The 22,867-nt window shown below is 31.9% G+C and overlaps 1 protein-coding gene across 17 annotated transcripts in view; it reads right to left on the bottom strand.

Moving 5' to 3' along the window:
• The window catches only part of CADM2 (cell adhesion molecule 2), a 1,115,441-nt gene that overhangs the window by 88,144 nt on the left and 1,004,430 nt on the right, over positions 1–22,867 (bottom strand). For 8 of the 17 annotated variants that reach the window (NM_001375960.1, NM_001167674.2, XM_017006062.3 and 5 more), the window contains one exon: positions 7,003–7,122. The exons of the other annotated variants lie outside the window; for them this stretch is intronic. In NM_001375960.1, coding sequence (NP_001362889.1) covers positions 7,003–7,122 — 120 coding nt within the window. The remainder of the gene's footprint in view (positions 1–7,002; positions 7,123–22,867) is intronic. 17 annotated transcript variants of the gene reach the window in all.

Here is a 22,867-nt window from a genome sequence, read left to right as displayed (position 1 = left end):
CCTCAGTACTGGAATGCTTTTTCTTTTATTCTGATGTTTCTTTATTTCTTTGTATTCTGTTTTTAAAGCATTTAAACCAAGAAGGAAAAGAGAGACACAGTAATGAAACCAAATAAAAATTAAGTAAAGATAGACTTGATTTCTTTTGATATAAAGGATGTAGAGAATAGAAGGGCAGGATAGAACATTATTGATTCTTAACCTGGTTTAATTAAATAAATGCTTCAGACAGTGGTTTGAAGTGCACATATGTCATGTGGTGTTTGCTTTAGCTTATTTTATTTTGAAGTCAGAAAAATGAAACAATTGAGGTAAGAGAATCTGAATATAAATGAAACTCTTTCGTAGTGCACATTTTAGGCAACTGTAGTTCATTTAAAATGTCCACATTAAATATGAGTTTGACAATTCATCCCAACCTTTCAACAATGGCCCAAAGTGTGTACTTAACTTTGTTTTATTTTCAATTTATATAGCTCAACTTTGTGTATATGATTTTTTTTTACAAGTCACTAAGATGGTTTCAAATGCTTTTAGAGTGAAAAAGTAGTTATTTATTAAGATCTTTCAGAAAGCAATGTTTTAGGATTATAGTGATACAAACAGATCCCTAAATTCATCTACATTTAAAGAATTAAGTTTTCTGATGCACATGATTTAAAAATACAATGGCATTATATGGGCTAAAAATTATGGGTCTATAATTTCTAGACTGGTTTTATAGTCATTCCAGACGTATACTAAAAATCATTCTATTCTTCGAGAATCATTTTAAGTATTTTAGTTAACGTTACCTTTTTAAACATATGTCACAACAGTAGTGCTGTGGTCTGTTGGACCATATGTCCTCCTGAGGACACAAATGTCCTCCTGAAAATTCAGAGGTTGAATTCCTAACCCTCAAGGTGATGATATTAAGAGCTGGGGCCTGGGGAAGTGATTAAATCATGAGGTGAAGCCCTCATGAACGTGATATGTACTTGTATAAAAGAGGCTCCAGAGAGCTGCTCTGCCCCTTGCACAATGTGAGGACACATGGAAAGACAGGTAGAAGTCATCATCTATGAGTAATGGGCCCTTAACAGGCAACTAATGTACCCATGACTTGATCTTGGCTTTCCCAGCCTCCAGAACTTTGAGAAGTAAATATTTGTTATGTGTAAGTCACTGAGTTAAATTTCATTATAGCACCCCAAACAGACCAAGGCAACTAATGCACAATTAAATTGTTAAGAATTGAGTACACATCTTAAAATGTTGTGAGTTTTGTCAATATAACTCTAGTTCTAGATATTTTGACAGTTTGATTTCTTCAGTTTAAAAAAATCCTTTTTTTTCCTGTGTGCCGTACCATTTTGAACTAAGGTTCTGTTGCAACGAATCTCATTACAATTAAATTTGTTGAGATTACCAGACAAATAATGTAGTTTTTGTTAGTACAAAATTATAATTCTACCATTTCAAAGACTGATGTAAAACTAAATCTATATTTGAATCAACAATTCATTTGAAGTTTTACATGGATTGTGTAAACACTTTAATCACCATTTTTTGGATTTCTTTCCCTATCTGGTACATTGAAATGTATGGTGTATTTGAATCCACTCTTAGTAATAGGACAGTGTATACTGGTTTACATCTTTCCATATCTATCAGATCATCTCTACATTTAGTGCATTTACTGTCCTGTGCAGGTAAAAACAAATATCAATTGTTAGCTTAGAAAATTTTCTGTCCTAAGTATAAAAGTTCAGTTATAAATTCTTATTTAAAAATTATGATAAATAAACATAACCACTTAAATATATAACTATGTTTCATATGTCTCCTGAATTTGAAATAAGTTAACATCATCTATAAAATGAGGATGCTACTAAAGATTACTAGATTATGACATGGTTTATTATGAAATTAAAATTATATGATAAAAATGAGAACGTTATTAAATTAAACATTCCATGCTAAAATAATGCTTATATTAATACTAGAAATCATATCAAAGTCACTTGGAATTATTTTATAAATGACTATATTAAGTTAATTAAAAAATCACAATGACCTAAAAAAGTAACATGTATAATATATGTGCATACATAATATATGTGTACATATGTGCACATATATGTACACATATGATATATAATATATAATCGGAATAATTGTACACATCATATGTAATATAAAGCATATATCATATATAACATAATACAGAGCATTGTATTATGTATAATATAAGATAGATCATATATAATATGTATAATATATTATGTGTGTCATATATATACACATATGTATATATATAATCTGAATTTTAAGGTTGGTTAGGCCACTGTAAAAAATTACGCAATTTCCAAAAGCTGAAACAATTAAAATGATATAGATTAAGAATACTTTAAACTTCATGAAAAGTATATGAACTGTTATACTTCAAAGGACAGACAGATGGTAGATGAATGATAGATGAAAGATAGATAGATAGATAGATAGATAGGTAGATAGACAGATAGATATAAATGGTACCATATGCTCTAGTATAATTTTCATCTAATGTTTGTTTCATACAATCAAAAAAATAGAATTGAAATGAAAAAGTAATTAGTGCATTAACACCAAAGAATTTTGCCAGATTAAAACTGTAATTATAGGGGAAAATCTACCATTTCATTAATGGTATGATACAACTGCTGGTAAACATGTTTGTTTTACTAAAACGAACTGAAAAAATAATTCTGTCATTTATTGAGTATTGCTTATGTTTTCATAACTTTAGATATTATATAACTCTCAAGTCAAACCTGTGCTTCATGTTTTTCTGATGAAAACACTGATGCTCAATTTGGTGCACCGTCGAAGGTCAAACATCTTGTAAACAAAATAACTGAAACTCATATCCAAAGATGTATCCAGGGCTCAATCCAGCTCTTTCCCATAGCTGCCCAAGTTGGTTCATTTCTCTGTGTTTTAACATCCTTATTTGTAATAAGATACTAATTGCCTGTTTTTATTCCATGTGGTTGAAGTTCTTCTTCCTCCAAATAGGGATGCATTTTAAACACAAGCTGAAGAGTTGCGCAAATTCTCAAGTTTATGACACTGTCAATCCAGTGTAGTTTCTTTCATTCCATTTCATCTTGATTTTTAATATAGATACAGCTGTGATTCTTTAAATGTATTTTAAATTGGTTTAACATATCATAGGATGAAAAATCCAGCAATAGCAGGAGTTGTAAAAGTGTAAATGGAGATATTAACAGTGATTTATTTGTGATCATTTATTAAAAATATGGAGATAAATGCTATAGTTTATGAAATTTGAAGAAATACAATTTAAACCTAATAAAATCAAATACATTTAGTTGATTTCAAATTATTGAATAAGATAAAGGAATGAAATAAGTAAACCAAAAAGAAATGCTGCAAGTTGAAAATATTCTTTCTGTTTAGGTCTCAGCTTTTCGTAGGCAATATATTCTTATTATGAATCCTTTTTAATCATGATTTTGAACCATCTTTCACAAACTTATAAATAAATGATTTTCAAATATAATTGCATCTAAAAGTTTTAATTTAAAAGGCAATTCACAAAGAAACAACGTCACATAATTTGAAAGAATACAGTGTAAAATTGATAACATTGTTTACATACTAAATGAATCCTCCACACTTTCAGTTATGAACTAGAATATTAATGATGCAGGTGAGTCTGGTGACTTAGGCAGTCCTCAGATGTTTGATGAGGATAGAAGGAAAAATGGGCGTTAGGCTAACATTAAAATTCAATGCTACTATTTTTTTCTTTTAAAATAGATAATATGAACTTCCCAGCTTACAAAAAAACTTTTTAAAAAAATATTTTTGTGTGATTTCTTTAAAAATGTTATCTTTCAAACTTTAAGTTAAAAAAGAGGGATTGGTTTTTGTTCATATCTTTTTGTGTGTGTACGCATGTGTGTCTTCTTGGAGGTTGGTTGAGTGTTTAAGGGAAAAATAAATTATCTGAGCACTTTAAGCATCCATGGTGTAAAGTTTACAAAAACATGTTAAGAAACCTGAAAAAAAGTGAATTTACCAGAAAGAGTAAACCACTGATTTTAGTTCAGTGACAAAGGACATTAACAGATAATTCTCAAAAGCAGACATGTGTGTGGCTAACAAGCATATGAAAAAATGCTCAACATCACTAATCATTAGAGAAACACAAATCAAAACCGCAATGAAATACCTTCTTACACCAGTGAGAATGACTGCTATTAAAAAGTCAAAAATAACAGATGCAGGCAAGTTTGCAGAGAAATGGAATGCTTGCATACTGCTGGTGGGAATATAAATTAGTTCAGTCACTGTGAAAAGAAGCCTAGGGATTTATCAGAGAAATTAAAACAGAACTACTGTTTCATCCAGCAATCCCATCACTGAGTATATACCCAAAAGAATATAAATTGTTCTACCATAAAGACACACGCACACATATGTTCATTGCAGCACTATTCACAATATCAAAGACATGGAATCAACCTAGATGCCCATCAGTGGTGGACTGGATGAAGAAAATGTGGTACATATGCATTAGAAATACTACGCAGCCATTAAAAAGAATGAGATCATATCCTTTGCAGCAGCAAAGATGCAGCTGCAGGCCATTATTCTAAGCAAATTAATGTGGAACAGAAAACCAAATATTGCACATTCTCACTTATAAGTCAGAGCTAAATATTGAGGACACATGGACACAAGGATGGGAACAATAGATACTGGGACCTAGTTGAGGATGGGAGGGTCCAGGAGGGTGAGGATCAAAAAACTACCTATCACATACTATGCTTACTACCTGGGAGACAAAATAATTTGTACACCAAATCCCAGCAACATTTAGTTTACCAATGTAACAAATTTCTACATGTACTCCTGAACCTAAAATAAAAGTTGGAAGGAAAAAAAATGCAATAGACCAAATCCCACTTAAGATTCATGTGAACCAATGTAAAAGAATGTTGTTAGTTTCACTTTGAAATATTTTTCTCATATAATAGTCTATAATGGCGTGTGTGTAAATGTGTGTGTGTAGGTTTGAAATTACATAGATAGATAGATATTTAGTCCTTTGAAACAGAATTATATATATATACATATATATAGTCCTCTGAAGCAAAATACTATGGATTTTTTTTTCAAAAGACCGGAAGACCACATGTAATATTTTCCCACAAAGAACAATAGTACTTTTCAATAAAGATTAAGCACAAAAACTGTTTGTTGGGGGTGGGGAGAAATGTATACATTTGATTGCTAGTGATTTTAGATGCCAGTAGTTGTCATAATTTTAGGTCCTGGCATAACACCATACATATAGCATATATTCAATACATATTTGTTGAAGAAGAAGGCATAATTGAATATTAGATTTTTGTGTTACAAATGGATCTTTTAAAAAAAGTCAATATATCTCCCTCCTTTCCCATTGAAGTGATTTGTTTATATAGTCAGAACTTAATAGTATAGCAGATATTGTGTTAGTATGCAATGATTACATTTTATTTAGACTGCCGTTTGTGAAAAACCTTACAGAGCATCACAAATTAAAGCAAAGTAGAACTTTAGATAACTTTCATTTTACATAATATTATAAAGCACTTCTAACTTTTTCTTCATTTTCATTATGTCTCTTTTCCCATTTTTATATAATTTTTTACAAGAAAGACCTTCACACTCTTCTCACTTACAGATTTAGCTTAAATAAAGTTCAGTCATACAAAAACATACCTAGCTATTTCTGAGAAATTCTTATTGCTACTACCATTAAACTTATTTAGTCATCAATCTTGTACATTGTATAATATAGTTGATGTCATTATTAAAAAATGGAAAATTATCAGACATTAGAATTTTTTCTGAAACAAAGACTATTATAACTGTTAAATCAAAGACGGCAAATCAACTTAATATCTAGAATTAATTAAAATTCCAAGAAAACCATCTAACTGAACAACCTTTAATAATTATGAATAATAATGCTAAACATAACCTTCATACAACTGAATTAAATATAATAATATAAAGTCCTCATTAATTTCAAGTTAAATTGTTAAATTTCACAGATATTAGTAGAGCCAAGGTGACATGAAACATATATAAGAAATAAGAAAAAGACAGACTTAAATACGACAAATTCTCTCTGAGCACTGCTTATGTAGAAATTAAACCATGTTTTTCTATAATGGCTTCATTTTTTTTTAATTTCCTCATCAGCTGCTAACCACTTAATGACTGCTCAGGAATACTTTTTATATTTCTCAACCACAACATAGTTACTTCTTCTGCCTTTATGGATATTCCCACCTTTTTAAGGTTGATTTCTTTGAAATAAAATTCTTATTTGTATAATGATATCAGAAATTACTCATGGAGCCATCTGAGACAACAGATATTTACTTTTAGAACATTCTATTAGTAGAATAAGTAGCTTCACTCAGCAAATCACTTTGGGATACATGTATTTTGAATATTTACTTGCAAGTTCTATGTGGAGAATAATTTATACTGACCCCATGGACTATGTCAATTTTAGAACAATTTCAAAACTATAGATATTTTAACATAGTTGCAGAGGAGTGGCAAGTTATTAATATTAAACTAGAATTTTAAAAAAGTAAAAGCTACCTCTGCACACATGAACATCTTATTTATTTGTTTACCTCTCAAGACAGGCAAAAACTGTGTCCCATGCTAACATTTTAAATTTGACCAACATTTTAAAGTCCCATATATTTTAAATCTATATTCTGCAAGATTTTGATAATAGTCTTAAGTAACACTAAAAAAAATAAAATGTACCATCATTTCTCATATTCTATTCCAATAACCCTAATTGATAGCAATTTAGGTGACTTAATTACTTCTCATAATTAAGTAAAATTGAATCTCAATGTTTTTAACCTTTCTAAAAACTTCTACAGAGCTCCAGTTAATGTGCTTTCCAGGCTATAACAAAGAAACATACTGTACCTCTGATGCTGCTGGTTGTTGCAGATGTGGTTGGGCTGGTTGTTATGGCTACAGTGGTTGTGACTGTTGCAGTGGTAAGGGAGGGGATGATAGTAGTGGGAAGCAAAGTGTTGGGAACATCTGGTGAGTGGAAAAAAAATATAAACAAAATCATATCATGCAAACAAAAGAGAAACACAAATGATTCAAATTATAAATACATATAACTTATTGAGGTTTAACTTTAACAAGCTTTAACAGAATATCAGGTACAAAACTGTGTCACACAATTCTTGTCATTTTTTTCACTTCTTTTTCATGCTCCAACACAAAGCAAAGACTTGGAGCAATGTTTGAGAGTAAGCAGGTTATTTTCAATATTTAGAGTAAAATGTAAAATGACAAGAATTCATTTGTTCACTGAGTCATTTAAAAAGTTTGACATGCAGTAGCAAAAAACATGTAGGTAAAAAAAAATGACATGCTTTGTCAAAGAAGTAAACAGAATGACACATACAGAAATAAACACATATACCACCATATAAGATTAACAAAATGTTAACGATCAATGTGTAAATGCATGTTAAATGCTTTTTGATTTTTTTCTTCTTTTAGGAAGACTTAATGATAGGAAATGAGAGCAATCTTTAGAAACAAACAAACAAAAGAAGCCAATTGTTATTATTATTGTTATTTTGCTTCTCCTGTTCTCACAAATGAGGTTAATGCACAGTTTAGAGTCTTGCAATTCTTACCCTGGTTAACTGGTAACGCCTTCTAATAATTTTGCAGTACCTAGGAGTCTTTAACAAGTATTGAGTCAACTAGCATGGCACCCGATATTCTGAAAGGTTTATGATTTATTTTAATACGGCATACCTAGGAGGGGTTACTGAACATATACTTGAAGTGTAACATTGAACCTCTAATCCATAATTAGTTAAGTTGCCAAAAGTTAAGTGTAGCTTCAAATACAGAAAAAATAAAACCCAGAAAGAATAGTGTTTAATGCCCAAATCCTCTTTCCTTTCACTAAAAATCAGCTGAAAATATGAAGAGCAGCACAGAGAACATTGAAACAATACAGCCAGTGTCAAGCTATGAGAACTTCAGTGAGATCCTCAGAGAGTCAAATCTTGTCTAAAGTGAATAGGCATGTAATCTACACAGTGAGGAAATTAGAAACAGTTTCCAAATTACCAATAATTACTGTGCTGAGGTTTGATTTCACATGTTTGTCACATAGCCCTCATATATTCCGAGTGTTTGACAGATTATTTTGTATTAAAAGGTTTCCTGTCATTCTCTCAGTTAAAGTCTTTGAGTCACACCAAACATTTTCTAGTACTTTACTGCTGATAAATAGCCCTACTCACTCTGTAGACTCTACCCGCTGAATTTTCTACACTGGATACACCAGAAAACAGCATGAGATCGCTCTCTTATCTTGAATATTGATGTTTACACCTGTTTTTCGACAGGGAAAATGCTTCCTGGCCAGTCAGATTAAGAAAACAACCTTCTTAAAACTCAGTGGTGCTGCATTAATCACTAGGGAAAATGGGTAAAGCCTGGAGTGCGATCTACCATTATCATAAAGTAGAACTGACTTTAACGACATTATAAATGAAGAAAGATTATGTATATGGACAAAGATACTTCTTGTTTACTAATTGTTATAATAACTCCTTATTTCAAGGTAAGATTTCTTAAACAGTTTAGGCAGACTGGAGGTAAATGAAAACATTTTCTAAATTTAAAAAATGTGTAATTTTAACTTTTATACTTATCTAAAATAGAAAATAATACCTTGTTAGCAAAATTATTTGCTGATTAGGATCTCAAAATATATACATTTAATAACTGCAAAGACCAATATCTTCCAAGTATATCAAATTTATGAACAAACAATAATACCAGGCATTTAAAACTCCATGTAAATGATCTGTTATTTCCAAATTTATCACAGATTATAACATGTTGGTTTATTTCCTATCACATAATCAGTTCAAATACTATTGCATTGGATCTTATTCTAATAAGAAAAGTAGTCTTTCAAAATCAGCCCCATCACTGAATTATTAAGAGAAGGAATACAAATCACAGGATTTTGGTTTTGTTTTTAGTTTAGTTTTGTTTTGTTTTGTTTTTATTTACAATAATAATAATTATTATTATTATAGTAGTATTTGGAGTCCCCCCAACCTTGCCCCGCTTATACCACGTCAACCAATATAGGCAGTAATAAATCCTGAATTTTTTAAAGACAGTCTATATATTTTCAAGTACTAGGAGCATTCTTGTATAAAGCAAACCATATCTTTATTTCTTACAAGGGTAAAAACGCATTAAGCATACATTTTTCCATAGGTTAATATTCAAATAACCTAAAAAGATGAGTAGTTTTAATAATTGTTAATCCACTTCAAAACAACATCCTTAGAATCTTTTAAAATACACAAATAAATAACATTACAAATTATTATTTACACATAGCCTGGTTCTTTTTTATCTGTTCAGCATTCTCCCTTATCCTCCTCTCTGACATCATATGTGGCTAAAAACAAATTGACTGAAAGTAATTTGGTGGAAAGTGCCAAAATGACAATTGGGTTTAAAAAATGACTTGTCATAAAGAAACCGATGCCTGTTACTGTTACATGTTTTTAACTACTACTAGCTTCATTTTGTTCTATGTGTTTTAAAACATTTAAAACATTTTTGCTTTTCTAATAATTTTGAGGGTTTTATTCTGTTCTTTCATTATTTGTTAAAGACCACCCCATTATTTCAGCTATATTGTGAAATAGTAAAAGTTAAAATAACCTAAATATTCAGCACCAGAATATTAATGGGAAGCAACTAAAATTGAACGATGTAAGATCAATTGAATTAGTTGAAATTCTCTGAAAGACCAGAACAGTTGTATGAAACGTCTGTCTTCTACCTAAACTTTCCACCCGCTCTGCTTTTCTTGCTCTCAGTGTCCCACTAGACAATCAGGTCTTCAAGAGAAGAGCTCTGCCTGGAATCCTGTACATTTTTAAACCTCTTACACTGTTAATGAAAAGAAGACTCCATCAAATATGGTACAGGGTGGAAACTGCAGCCCATTTTATCCCTTGTAAAATGATACCGCTTAAAATATTCCCCAATATTGAAAAATACTAATTCATACGCAGAGAAATTATATACATGCACACATACATCATAAAAATGTTAAATACTGGTTCAACATTAACTTATTAATTTTTTCCATAGGACAAGATAATCTGCAGTTATACTAATATTTTAAGTAATTTGCTTAATATGACATGGCAGTGTCAGAGTGTCTTAATATATGCCTTATATGGTAACATCCTATGATTAATCAGATGATATTTGAACACAGACACCAAGACAACTATAAATAAAACATGGTCAAATTTATGGCATGTGATGCATAATTTATGAATATTGGAATTTAGAAATGATAACCATCCAATACACAGCTCAATTTGTATATTTCACCTCTGAATTCAACATTGCAAAAGATGAGCTCATTTTTTTGTGTGTTCCTTGGAGAGTGTATTAATTTAACCAACTATAAATGCAATTGCCTGAAATAAAAATGTAGTTATAAATGATAGGTTCAGCACTTCAAATTTACAAAAGAAATTAATTGTGTCGTATTATATATTTGTAGTTTGTATTTTTAGATGTTAAGTTATAAAGAGTGAAGAGTCAGCAATTGATAAAATATGTTCTAATAAAAAAGATATTTGAAAAATGAACTAAGTGAAAGTAAATTTTGTCTAGAGCTGATCGGAGAAATTAGTAATTATACATAAATTATTTAGACTCAATTTAAATCCAAACAAGATAAATTTCAATGAAGTTCATCAAAATCAGAATTTAAAATACTCTCATTAATAAGAAATTTGTTTGCTATCTAATCTAACAATAGTTTTCAGGCTGTTAAAAGTTTTAATCACAATATATAGGAATGTGTAATGACAATTTCTCTGAAATTATGAAATCATAATTATGTGTTTTAAATTTATTTAGCCAATTTATTCTCACCACATACTAAATACCACATATCATGGTATATTAAAATAAATAATACTCACTAAAATAAATTGATGGTTTTAGATAGGATATGAAATGAATTCATACAGATCCAGTGTTCATGATCTAAACTTTAAATATATCTTTATACATATATTTTATATATGTACACATTTTATGTAAATCCTGGACCTCTATCTATCTATCTATCTGTCTATCTAAGAAGTTTTATTTAAAAGGCAGTGTGAGCCTTTTTATTGACAGGAAGCTGAGAAAAGTAAAGATTCCAAGATATGAAAATATCTTCTTATAATTTTGCCTACACATAAAGTTTGAATTGTAATAAATTATACTTTTCATTTCACTTATAACATATATAAAGTACTGTTTTCATGTAAAAGGAAAATTTTGGGGTATTTCAATAACAGACAGAACCCCTAAATCAAGTCAATAGAACAATTTCATAATTGTGCAGACAGTCTAACTAGGCTGCAAAAGTTATTCATGTGAGTGAACGCTGGGTTGCCAATAAATGCAATGTAAATAATCTGAGTACTTCTATAAGAACTTAGTCACATGCAGAAGTATAATTTCAGCTAAAACAACGCATTTGCCAAATCAGGAAACTAAAATCTGTTTACAGGACCATGGCTAAACTTGAATATGATAAATTCATCAGTCCATCATCTCTCCTGCTTAACCTGCGTGACTCTGATAGGAACTCCAAAACTGCACCACCCACTATTGTGTTGAGGTAGCCATAACTTTGTGGTTTCCTATTACAACAGGGGCTAGAGTTCCTCATAGGATACATGTCTGGCTTGTTTTATTAATTTTTCAAGTGCCAAGTTAATGTAGAGAAAGAAGCTTAAGCCTAGCATACAAGAAGACATCTGCCTCTGACACAAGTGCTTTACCCCCTTGACAGAGCTAGACATAGCTCTTCCTGTTCTTTGTGCTGTAGGTTCTCAGAGGCACACCCTGTTTCACATTTGTTATCTCATTCATGTCCATCCTTTAAATCCTGGTTCAAATAGGATCTCATATGGAAAGCATGGCCCAGTTCTGCAAAGAGTTAATATCTTCCTTCTCTGAGCTTTTAAGCATTTTGCAGACACCCGTGTACATGTTTATATTTATGTGTTTCCCTCTCCCAATAAACTGTAGGCTCAGCCTTATAAATTAACATGTTTTTGTCTTTTAAAATATCACTTTGTCTTAGACAAATATACTCTGAGCCAATCCCTCATTAGCTTTTCATTTCAGAATAGCCATCCTTTCCTGATACCTAACAAAATGCTACTCTCACATCTCAGCCTGATTCCTACCTGGTTTGTGAAGACTTCCTTGACCAGCTAAGCCCACCTAATTTCCTTTCACCACCCATTGTACTTTTTGAGTTTATCTACTGCTTCCTTCACTTTGTCCCACCCAAATCCCCATGACCAATAATGCTTCCATTCATGACATACTGCTATGGGAGGACCCACAGTTATGTGTGTCCCACTAGCTCTATATCCATTTCTGTCCCTCAGTAGAAAACACAAATTAAAAATGTGCGATGTTATAATAACATTTTCAAATTTGCTCTAGTTTACATAATCAGTTTGTAAACTCTATTATTTTAGCTCTTTTTAATAATAAAGTATGCAGTACACTGATTATAACTCAAAGCTCTTCAGAAAATCTGGGATTGGAAATTGAGAAGCTGTAACATTCATTTGATACTTAACATATATTGCTTGCATTTTTGTTTCCTGAACAAATGAGAATAAGATAATAGAGAGAATGAACTTCATGGTAAACTTTTGCACTTCATCAGGGTGGCTAGCTCTATGCTTTCAATGTGGTAGGTGCTTTTTGTTTGTCTGTTTTAAAAGATGGGGTCTTGCTATGTTGCCCAGGCTGGAATGCAGTGGCTATCCACAGGCATGGCCATGGTGCACTACATTTCTGAACTCCTAAACTCAAACGATCTTTCTGCCTCAGCATCCTGAGTAGCTGGGACTACAGGGATGGACCACAGTTCTAGAAATGACAGGTGCTTTATCAATAACATCACTCCTGATGATAATGATACCAGTAGATAGGCAATAGTATCATTCTTAAAAATATGAATCAGTAACAGAAGCTTATACATGGTTAATCCCTGAAAAAAGTTGCTCTCCCTTTTATCATGTGTGAGATGATTTTTCATAATTCCTGTTAAGAGTCTTCCAGTCTAAAGGAGTATTAAAAAAATTAAAATGCAGCATACAGAATAGTTCTATATTCTAAACGCAGGTTTTCAGTGTTTTTAAAAGTGTTAGAGCTCTAAATAATATCATCCAATTAAAAACAACAGAAAAGTGTCCTTTTCTTTATATTCTAATGAAGGATTTTTTAGAAAATGCCACCACATTTTGTTATTGGAGCTTATTAGAGCACAACAGATCCTGTATAACCTTGTCAAAAGGAAATCACTTCCAACAAGCGCTGTATACAATAAACTGAAGAGTGGTACAGCACCTTTTTTCCAATAACGAGCTTTTCAGGTTAAAGGTATGTTCTGTTCTCTACAAATGCAGTGTACAATAATTTCTAACTTGTCAACTTGTTTTGTTTTCTGGCAGTTTATCTTTTTAAAAATGGCATTCAGAATGGATTTTCGAAACAAAATTAAGTCTAAAGAGTCCCAGAAGCCCAAGCTGCTTGTTTCTCTCCAAGGACTAGTGTTCAATAGGGAGAAAAATTGTTACCATTTAGTCTGGAATCCATATGTTTACTTTCTTTCTGCTTTATGTCACTAATGTCCTCCCCCAGGGGTGGTCCCAGGATGATAAAGAATAAATAAACACTAAGAGTTATTAGTGGAGATGTAGAAGTGTTAGAACTTGAGGTATATCATTAGAATTATTATGGTAAGATGTGTCTTTTTTGGTGAAAGGTACTCACATTTCCCTATCTTAAAAAATAATAGGGTAGTTTTCCTTACTACTAATTGCACTGACTGACATTGGAAACAATTGTAAGAGGAAAGTTTACTTTATTTGCTTTTGCCTGTACAAAAAAAGAAGGACATTTATCTGCTCCCATTATGCTCAGCTACATGCAGCAGCCTATTTGGATCACAGTGTAAAAGTGGATAACAGCACCAAAGCTCTTACTTAAATGATAACCACCAGGTTGAGAAGGTCCCAACTCACCAGTACACGCCTCCTCCTCAACAGTCATATAGTAACCCCATCTGCTTCATAAAAAGGAACTCTTTTAAAAATTATATTTGAATAAATCCCTTTTCATCCCTCTGATAGCTTCCACTGGTTTCTCATACTAAATGGAATGCTTATACAAGAAAAAAAAAGCTGTTCTTAAAATATGAAAAGTACTGCAATTTTAAACTGTAGGCGGTAACTGTCAGTTCTATGTAATTACAAGAAAACTTCATGAATAAAATCAATGCTTTATTTGAAAAAATGTATGCATTTTTTCTTTTATAATACTTTTTTACATTCCAAACTGACAAAAGTAAAGTGAAATTTCAAGTATGAAAAAAATGCTTTTGAAGTGGATTATCCTATATCATTTAGCTCCGCCTACTTCAATATTGTGAGCCCTTTCCTACTCTTTCCTTAAAATACTCTACCTGAAAGTAAATCACATGATTTGGTCCAATACTTTAAGTTCTGTGAAAATGTAAGAGAATATTACTGTCATCCATTAAAAGAAAAACGTAAATCAGCTATGAATAAACACAAGGAGAACTGTGATATAGTAGAAAAATACTGACTGAGAAATCCACATATTTTGATTTTTCATGTAGGCTCTGTGATAAAGTAGCTGAGAGCCATTTTGCATGTAATTTAACCTCTATGCATCTATGCTTCCTCATCTAAAAACTGAAGACTTTCGGCTTGGTCATTTATATAAATCCTTTTAGACCAAGTTTTTAACCAGTGATGGATCAGAGTTGATCTTCTAAAAGCAAAACACCTTCACTCAAAAAATGATACATGAAAAAACGTTTGCACATGACGTCAGGACATACGAGAGTCCATAAGGGCGTTGGTTCAGATTCAAAATGCAATGAAGTAAATACATTTGTTGCCTCCTATTCTCTAATTATCTCAACTGAAAAATAATCTCATGTATACTAGAAAAAATGATCTTAATATGTATGTTATTTTAAAAATATTAACGTCAGTGAACATTTCAGAATACAAAAATCACTTTTTGCAGTAATCCACCCATACTTAAATATAATATCCTTATGATTAAAAACTGTTTTAAGATTTCTTGCATGACTTTTTTTTTCCATTTTTATCTTTCATTCTGTAAAATAGTTGCTTAACCCATACTAGGTTATATTTTTATGTTACTCTATAGATTTATCACCATGTAACTTACCCGAAATATGTTTTAGGTTTATCTTGATACCGCTTCTCATTTAATATATAAATTTCATCAAAGATTAAAGTAGCTTCCAGAATCCTGAACCAACATTTTTGAGGATTAACTAAACTGTGCTGCATTTTGGAGGGTGAAGAGAGTACTATGCACACGGCACTAATTTTAGTGAATTCTAATTTTGACATAAATGTTTGTTAACTGCCAGTTTTTAAAAGTAATAACGTGAATCCAAATGCAATATTCTATATTGAAATACAAAAGTTTAGTTAAATAAAAATTAAATGATAAGGTAATAATGTTTCAAAGATTGTTATTATAACCTTGCTAACCTATAATTTAAGAAAACTATGAATGTCTATTTACAGGTAATTTTTGCACATGCATATTAATGAATAGGTCCACTTTGACATATCCTTAGAACACAATCCCTGAATAAAACTAAATAATGTTAAGAATAATTGTGAATAAGCATCTATTGAGCTTCACTTTTAATATCCACTCCTATCACCTGTATTTCTAATGGTCAGAGCTCTCACGAGCAGCCAGGTCTCTCTTATAAAAGGTTGAATTTCAGTTAGCAAAGTCATTTAACTTTGCAAAAAGATGAAAACACATACTTGGAATCAATTGCATAACTCTTTAATTGCAAAAATTTTTATTAGAAAAATTAATCTATGCACAGTTATTTATGTTTTGAATCACTTAATTCTATAAGTAAGGCACATTTCACCTGGGTTGCTAAGTAAACACGTCTTTTTTTTTTTCAATATGGGATAAAAACTAAAGGTTATTATTTTGGTGACCAAGGAATATCAATTATTTCCCTGATTTTATCCAGAAGTCAAGGCTGTTTGTGTGTGTGTGTGAGTGTATGAGTGTATATATATATATACACTCACACACACACACACAAACACACCCCTGTATATTCGTATATGTGTGTATATATGTAGATATGGGTATGTATGTGTATATATGTGTATATGTGTATGTATTGCTTCACTAAAGTTTCTTCTCTTGAAAACAGCGGGAGAGACAGACAGAAACAGATTTAAATATTAAATAAATATTTATTGAGCACCTACTATTTAGAAGACCCTGTTCTAAGAGCTAGCGGTATAGAAATAAATAAGATGCATAAAATATCTGTTTCCTAGGAGGTCATAGTCTAGTGTGAGGGCATATAATATATTCACATATACAGATGCATACATATATGTGTACATATATATACATATGTATATATAGACACACAAACATGTACATACACACAAATAGCTAAACTATCACATAATGATATATGTCTTGTAGAGTATTTAATTGAAGTGATATGTGACTGGGGGACAATTTAGATGGTAATGGAAAAAAAAGGCCTCACTGAGAAATCCCTTTTAATCTGAGATCTGAATAAGAAATCAATCTTGCAAAGATCAGCATTTCTGGCAGCATTTCTTGTGCATCTTGGACAAGCATTCCAAGCAGAGGCAAAATTTCTATAAAGAAAATGACCTTGATAACTTAGAGGAGTTGAAAGAGGACCAGAGAGACAGAAGTGGGTGTGTGAAGAGTGATGAGAGATGCCACCGATGTAGGCAGCAGCCATAAAATGCAGGACTTGGAAAAGTAGGACAATGAGGGTTTGGCTTTTATACTAAGGATGATGAAATGCCTTTGTATAAGTTTAAATGGGGAAACGACATGAAGAGATATGCATTTAAAACGTTTATATATTGAAGCTATGTGAGAAAGAGATTGAAGGTGTGGGAGTGTGGAACAAGGGACCCTAGTCTAAGCCAGAGAGGATGATGGAGAGAAGTGCCCACTTTGGGAATGTGATTTGGAAGCAACGTTGATGGAACTTCGTGATGAATTGGAGAGAAGGGTAGAATAGAATCAAGGAAAAATTTTAGAATCCGAAACAAGTATATATGTTGTAACAATATGTGTGAAAACTATACTGTAAAAAGCTACAAAGCAGGTTTTATGTAAAAATCTATGTCTTCTATTTAGGAATGCCATTGTTTCTGAAAACTAATGCCAACATTTCCTCCCATGGGCCATTGCATATTGCTTGAAATCTGTAACAAATGAGCCAATTAACACACATATACTTGGGTAGAAGAGCTCTGTACATTTTGGTAAAGCTACAGCCTGGCCTTATTTCCACATAAACAAATATAGAAGGACCGAGTGCCACAGATTCTATCCTTCTCTTTACCTTATTTTATACTGCAACTGAGAGAAAATATTATATGTAAATAAGTTGAGAAAATATTTTTTTAATGATGAAATTGTTTAGTGATAGAAGGCAGGAATGACGGTTTTTTCCTATGTACATTTCATTCTGTGATTCATCTAGCACATAGAAATATTTATTTCAGAATGGCATCTCTCAACAGAATTTTTACTCTAAAAGCAGAAACCTTAGTGTACCTACTTTATGCTCATCTTAAAACAGAGACATATAATTAAGCCTTAACTCTGTGTTGAGTGTGCCCACACACATACACCTTTTAAAATGTTTTGTAATGAAAATAGTGCTCCTGTCTCTACTATTTTATGCCATTCCATTTCTCTCTGCAGAGTTCAACAGCATATTCATCCAGTCAGAGGTACACCTTTCCTACAGGCATCAGAGCTCTCCCTGCTTATTCATGTCCAGAAATGATAGCGTTTTATCTCAGCGATTAAAGAAGATACTGTTTTAAGAATCATCCAACTAGTTACTGCCTGGAAACTCTCAACCAGAGATGAGAGCAGCAACCATAGGGCTCTTCCATTAGCACACTGTTTGTTGCTCAGTATGGATGCCTTTTCCATCCTTTTTTCCCTCCACTGTATATTTTCCATCTATGCTTCTAAGAAAAATGCTCCAAAGGAAAAATGCTCATTACGAGTACACAGAATTAACTTACCAACTGGTAGGTCTGTTTCCATGTGAAAGAACAGATTTTAGTTGAATCCCTTTTTAATGTTTGCTAGGCTTTACATCTGTCCATAATCCAGGCTTCTTTTTTTCCTTCCCCAGCCACCCATACGAGCTAGAAGATGTACTCTCCTAGTTCTCAGTGTGACCTGTAAAGATCACCTTGCCTAAAAAAATCATGTAGCCTCTCAATACTGCTAGATGTTTCGTTGCTGGATAATTTAATAGTAAATGCACGTTGCAGGGGCTGGCAATCTTCCGGCCTAGCTACACATTTACTATGAAGCACAAAAGGACATTTTTCATTGTATTGTGATGAAGTTCTCAGATCATTGATAATCATGACATGAATACATGAGAGATATATCTCTCTAAGATTAGGGATGTATTATTATATAATATTTGCTTAGTTCTATGGCAAGAAAATTTTAAAAGCAAATTTAAGGTATTACTCTATGATGTTCCTAATCTGTTGCTTAATGATTGCTGCATTCACTGACATATATATTATTTTGCTAAATTTAGGGTCAAGTACTGACAACTCTAAAGGAAATGAATTTATATTTTGCACATCTGTTACATATTTGAAAAATATGATAGATGGATTGGAAATGTCTGTTAAAGTGAAAGAAAAGATACCATCCATGACTCAATTTTTCCTCTCCCATAGTAAGCAAGTTAACTGAAATGGAGAATCACTACCCAGGATGGAAGAGGGAACCTGTGTTTACCTACAGTCTCTGAAAACGATATGTGTCTACATGAGCAACAAAGCTTGGAAGTTTGGCTTGATCCAGCAGTCTATAATATCTATGTGTACGATTTTCTGTCTTTGAGTGTTTTTTGACATTTATTATTAACAATAAAAGCTGAGTGAAATGAAAGTAGCAATCTTATTGATTCTTAGGAGCTAGAAAGGCACATTTAATAGCTTAATACCTTTTAGTAGATCAAAGCACATAGAGATCTCTAGCAGTAATATTCTCTATTAAAATTCTAAAACTCCAGAACACTCTTTTTAAAATAATGTATCCTACCAACTAACAATAAAATATGACGTATCCTATTCTCTATATATGTTACTTCTGAAGTAAATTATCCTGGAAACATAAAAAGCAGTATCATATTTCCATCACTGTTTAATAGACACATGAACAAATAAAACAAACCGTAACAGTCAAGTGATACTTTAGAGAGACTAAGATTATCAGAAATCGTGATAAGCTTATTAGCAGGACAGAAATATAAGCAAATCTTGATTCTAACTTACTATATAGTATCATAATACTAATTATAGAGATTTTACTTATCTTACATGGTTGTAAAGGTCAAATTTGCTAGAAAAGCAAAATACATACATGTAAAGAAAACGAAATCTGTGGAAAGGTGCATAGTGGGCAATTTCATTCTAAATGATAGCAAGAGTTAAGATAATAAAGGAGTGATGAATTGTTATAAAACTTATTCATACAAGGAGAAAATAATGAAGTAAGGGAATAAGTTAGCACAGTGGTAAAATAATTTTAACACTCACATAGGGTTACTACGGTAAAAGAAAAAATAAATTTGAAAAGGAAAGGGGAATATTACAAAAAAACTTTATGGAATAGTGCATCTCAACTCTGCTATAACTGTGAGACAACATGGGTTCCCCTCCAAAGCTCTAAACATTATCCTTGCTACCCTTGTCTACAATCTGGACCTGCCATTGATAGTATAGCTATTGGCAGAAGGAGAAATTAGTTACTATTTTTTCTGCTGGTATTACTGTATTTCTTCCCAGATCCTGAGGGAGGCTTTGAGAATGGAGGTGATATTAAAGAGTTGCAGCATATCTGTCCATTTCCCATTTGTATTTTGAGCAGTGGTTATTAATTTCTCTAATGAGTTTAAAGGGAGGTAAAAGAGACACTGGGAAGGTTAAGAGGGAAGAAGTTTAGGGTTTGGGGAATGTGGTAATTTGCGTTTCTCACTTTCCGTAGATGTTCTTTCTCAAAGCTTTCCAGGTCCTGTACATTTCTGTCACTTTTATGAGTGTATTTTTAATCAATTGATGATAAATAGAAGAGTATGCATTGCTTCCAATCACAAAACAGAATTAGCATAATACCATTGGTCATTCCCTAGATCCATACCTTGCATGATAAAATGGTATCATCTGTTATGTTCTCTATAGTGAATGGATGCACATTCGGGTAGTTTCTGCTTGAAGACAAGATATTCAACCTATATTTTCTGAACTTAATGTTGCATTAGAGAACAAGGGTGACTATAACTTATGTCTTGCTTTGTACATGGTCAATGTGTTAACATTGTTGAGATTTTAAGACATTTTCTATCTCATAGAAAAAAATTAGAGTTTTCTCATTTTTCAATAGCGTTAACCTAATTTATGTTCCGGTAGCTTTCAGGGAAGATTATGAGCAATAACTGTATGCAACTCATGGGCAAGTTTCTTACCAGACCCTTGGAGTTTGATTGTCCTTGGTATAATAAGACTACTAGAAATATAAGAGTAAGAATAGTCTAATTTATTATATATCTGTATAACTGGCACTTTGCTGAGTAATTCCATTTACAAAGTATGTCATATTATAAATGAATTTATTAATTTGTAATAATATTTATCATAATATTTATATTTAAATATTTATTATGATTATTTATATTTATAATATTTATAAATAATAGTTATATGTTAGTATTTTTAAACATTCCATACAGTTGGAACTACACAAAGTGTGAACATCTGCCACATTGTATGACCATCTTACTATAGCTCCCTATAACTCTTCTATTTTGTGTCACAATTATCTAAATGCTTAGCTTATATTCCACATTAAACTATAATCTTCTTGTTTGTTATTTATCTTTGCTCCTTTGTACCTGGTAGATAAGTACTATATATCTATTGGGTGAGTGAATTAGTTTTTATCTTGATCCTAGTTCTTCACATGTTAAGAATAGCAATGGGTCAAGATATTCAAAGCCATTAAAACTATGGATATAATCATCCATTGTAAATAAATAAATAGTATGACCACAATAATCACAAGAGATATACTTCAACATTTTTATAAAGAAGAAAATAGAAACTACTGTGCTCAGAGGAATTAATTAGTATAATTATGGCTACCAATTTAACAGATAAATTTTTCCATTGCCAAGCTTGTTCATAAAATGTGCTACTTTCTTTCTTAATGGAACCTTCACAGTGCAAATGTTTCTTAAGCAAGATGTTTAATCTTACAGGTATTAGTATGGTGACTCTGGGTAGGCCTTTCATTGAGGATAAATTTTAGACTGGCAGTTAAATTACTACATGTGATCCTAATGCTGAAAATTTTAAAGGTGTAATTAGGAGGGAGTGGGGGAATCACCAGTGTTTCTAACACAAAATGTCAGTGGTTTTAACAATTAAATGTGGTAGCATTTAAATAATGCTTAATAATGCTTAATAGTGCACTTAAATAATGCACTGACACCCAAACAATAAAATCTAACTATTATGACGGCATCCAGATAGTAGATGATTTCACAGGAAAGTGCTCAGAACTCCATCAAGTTAAGAATCAATAGAATCTAAGCAATTGTGGTAGAGTCAAAGACACGGGTCTCAGCTCGTGAAAAATCCTCTGTACTAGAGCTATATTAAATTATCACCACTAACGTAAAATCAACCTTGGTGTAAAAGATAAAAGGGTAAAGTTCTCACAAATGATCACTTATCACTCCATTCCAAAAATGCATACAGCATTCATTATAGATCGAAATGCCACTCAAATTTCATCATTTAGTAAGGTTTTGAAACAGCCAAACCATTAAAAGAAGAGAGTAGCTTTTTATATTTATACAACTAGTGACTAATGAAACATTATACCCAGCGTGCAAAGGGGAAAAAACCTTTATTTTGCCATGAACCCAATTGGCGCCCCTTTTAAACACAGCATAATATGGTTTCACTGTTTCATCGAGCCTCTCATTACTTGTGTCAATAATCCTAGGTAAACCACTGTTGAACTTCACAGCATTTATCTAGCAGCATGAATAGCATTAATCTATGGGATGCTTTTGATGAATTGTAGTTCAAAAAGCAAAGCCAAAAATGACTTCTCACAAAGTGCTTAGGGAAGTATTTATTAGAAATACATCAACTGCCAACTACCTAAAGGTAGCTTGGCTATTTAGGAAATCATGCTGTTGGCTAGCTTGCAAGCACTGAAAAAATATACGAATTTTCCTGATGAGCTACTTTAAAAAAATGATATACTTTTCATTTAGGTATATTATTTTTTCTGTCACTTCTCTTCTAATTCTCAATATTTTATGTCATATTGCTTTTGACACAATGTGACATGCTATACAACATATCCCCAGGTGCTCAGAAACTGTTAGGTGAGAGAAGCACTTGGAAAATTAAGGTGAATCAGATAGACTACACTTTCCTTACATGACTGCATGATCTAAACATCCAGGGAGCATCAACTGAAATCTACTCTTGGATCCTGCTCTAAGGATCTC

The sequence above is a fragment of the Homo sapiens genome, chromosome 3 (assembly GCF_000001405.40).
Source record: "Homo sapiens chromosome 3, GRCh38.p14 Primary Assembly".
Lineage (NCBI taxonomy): Eukaryota > Metazoa > Chordata > Mammalia > Primates > Hominidae > Homo > Homo sapiens.
The sequence above is the reverse complement of the archived record's forward strand: the minus strand, read 5'-3'. Positions and strand labels throughout refer to the sequence as shown.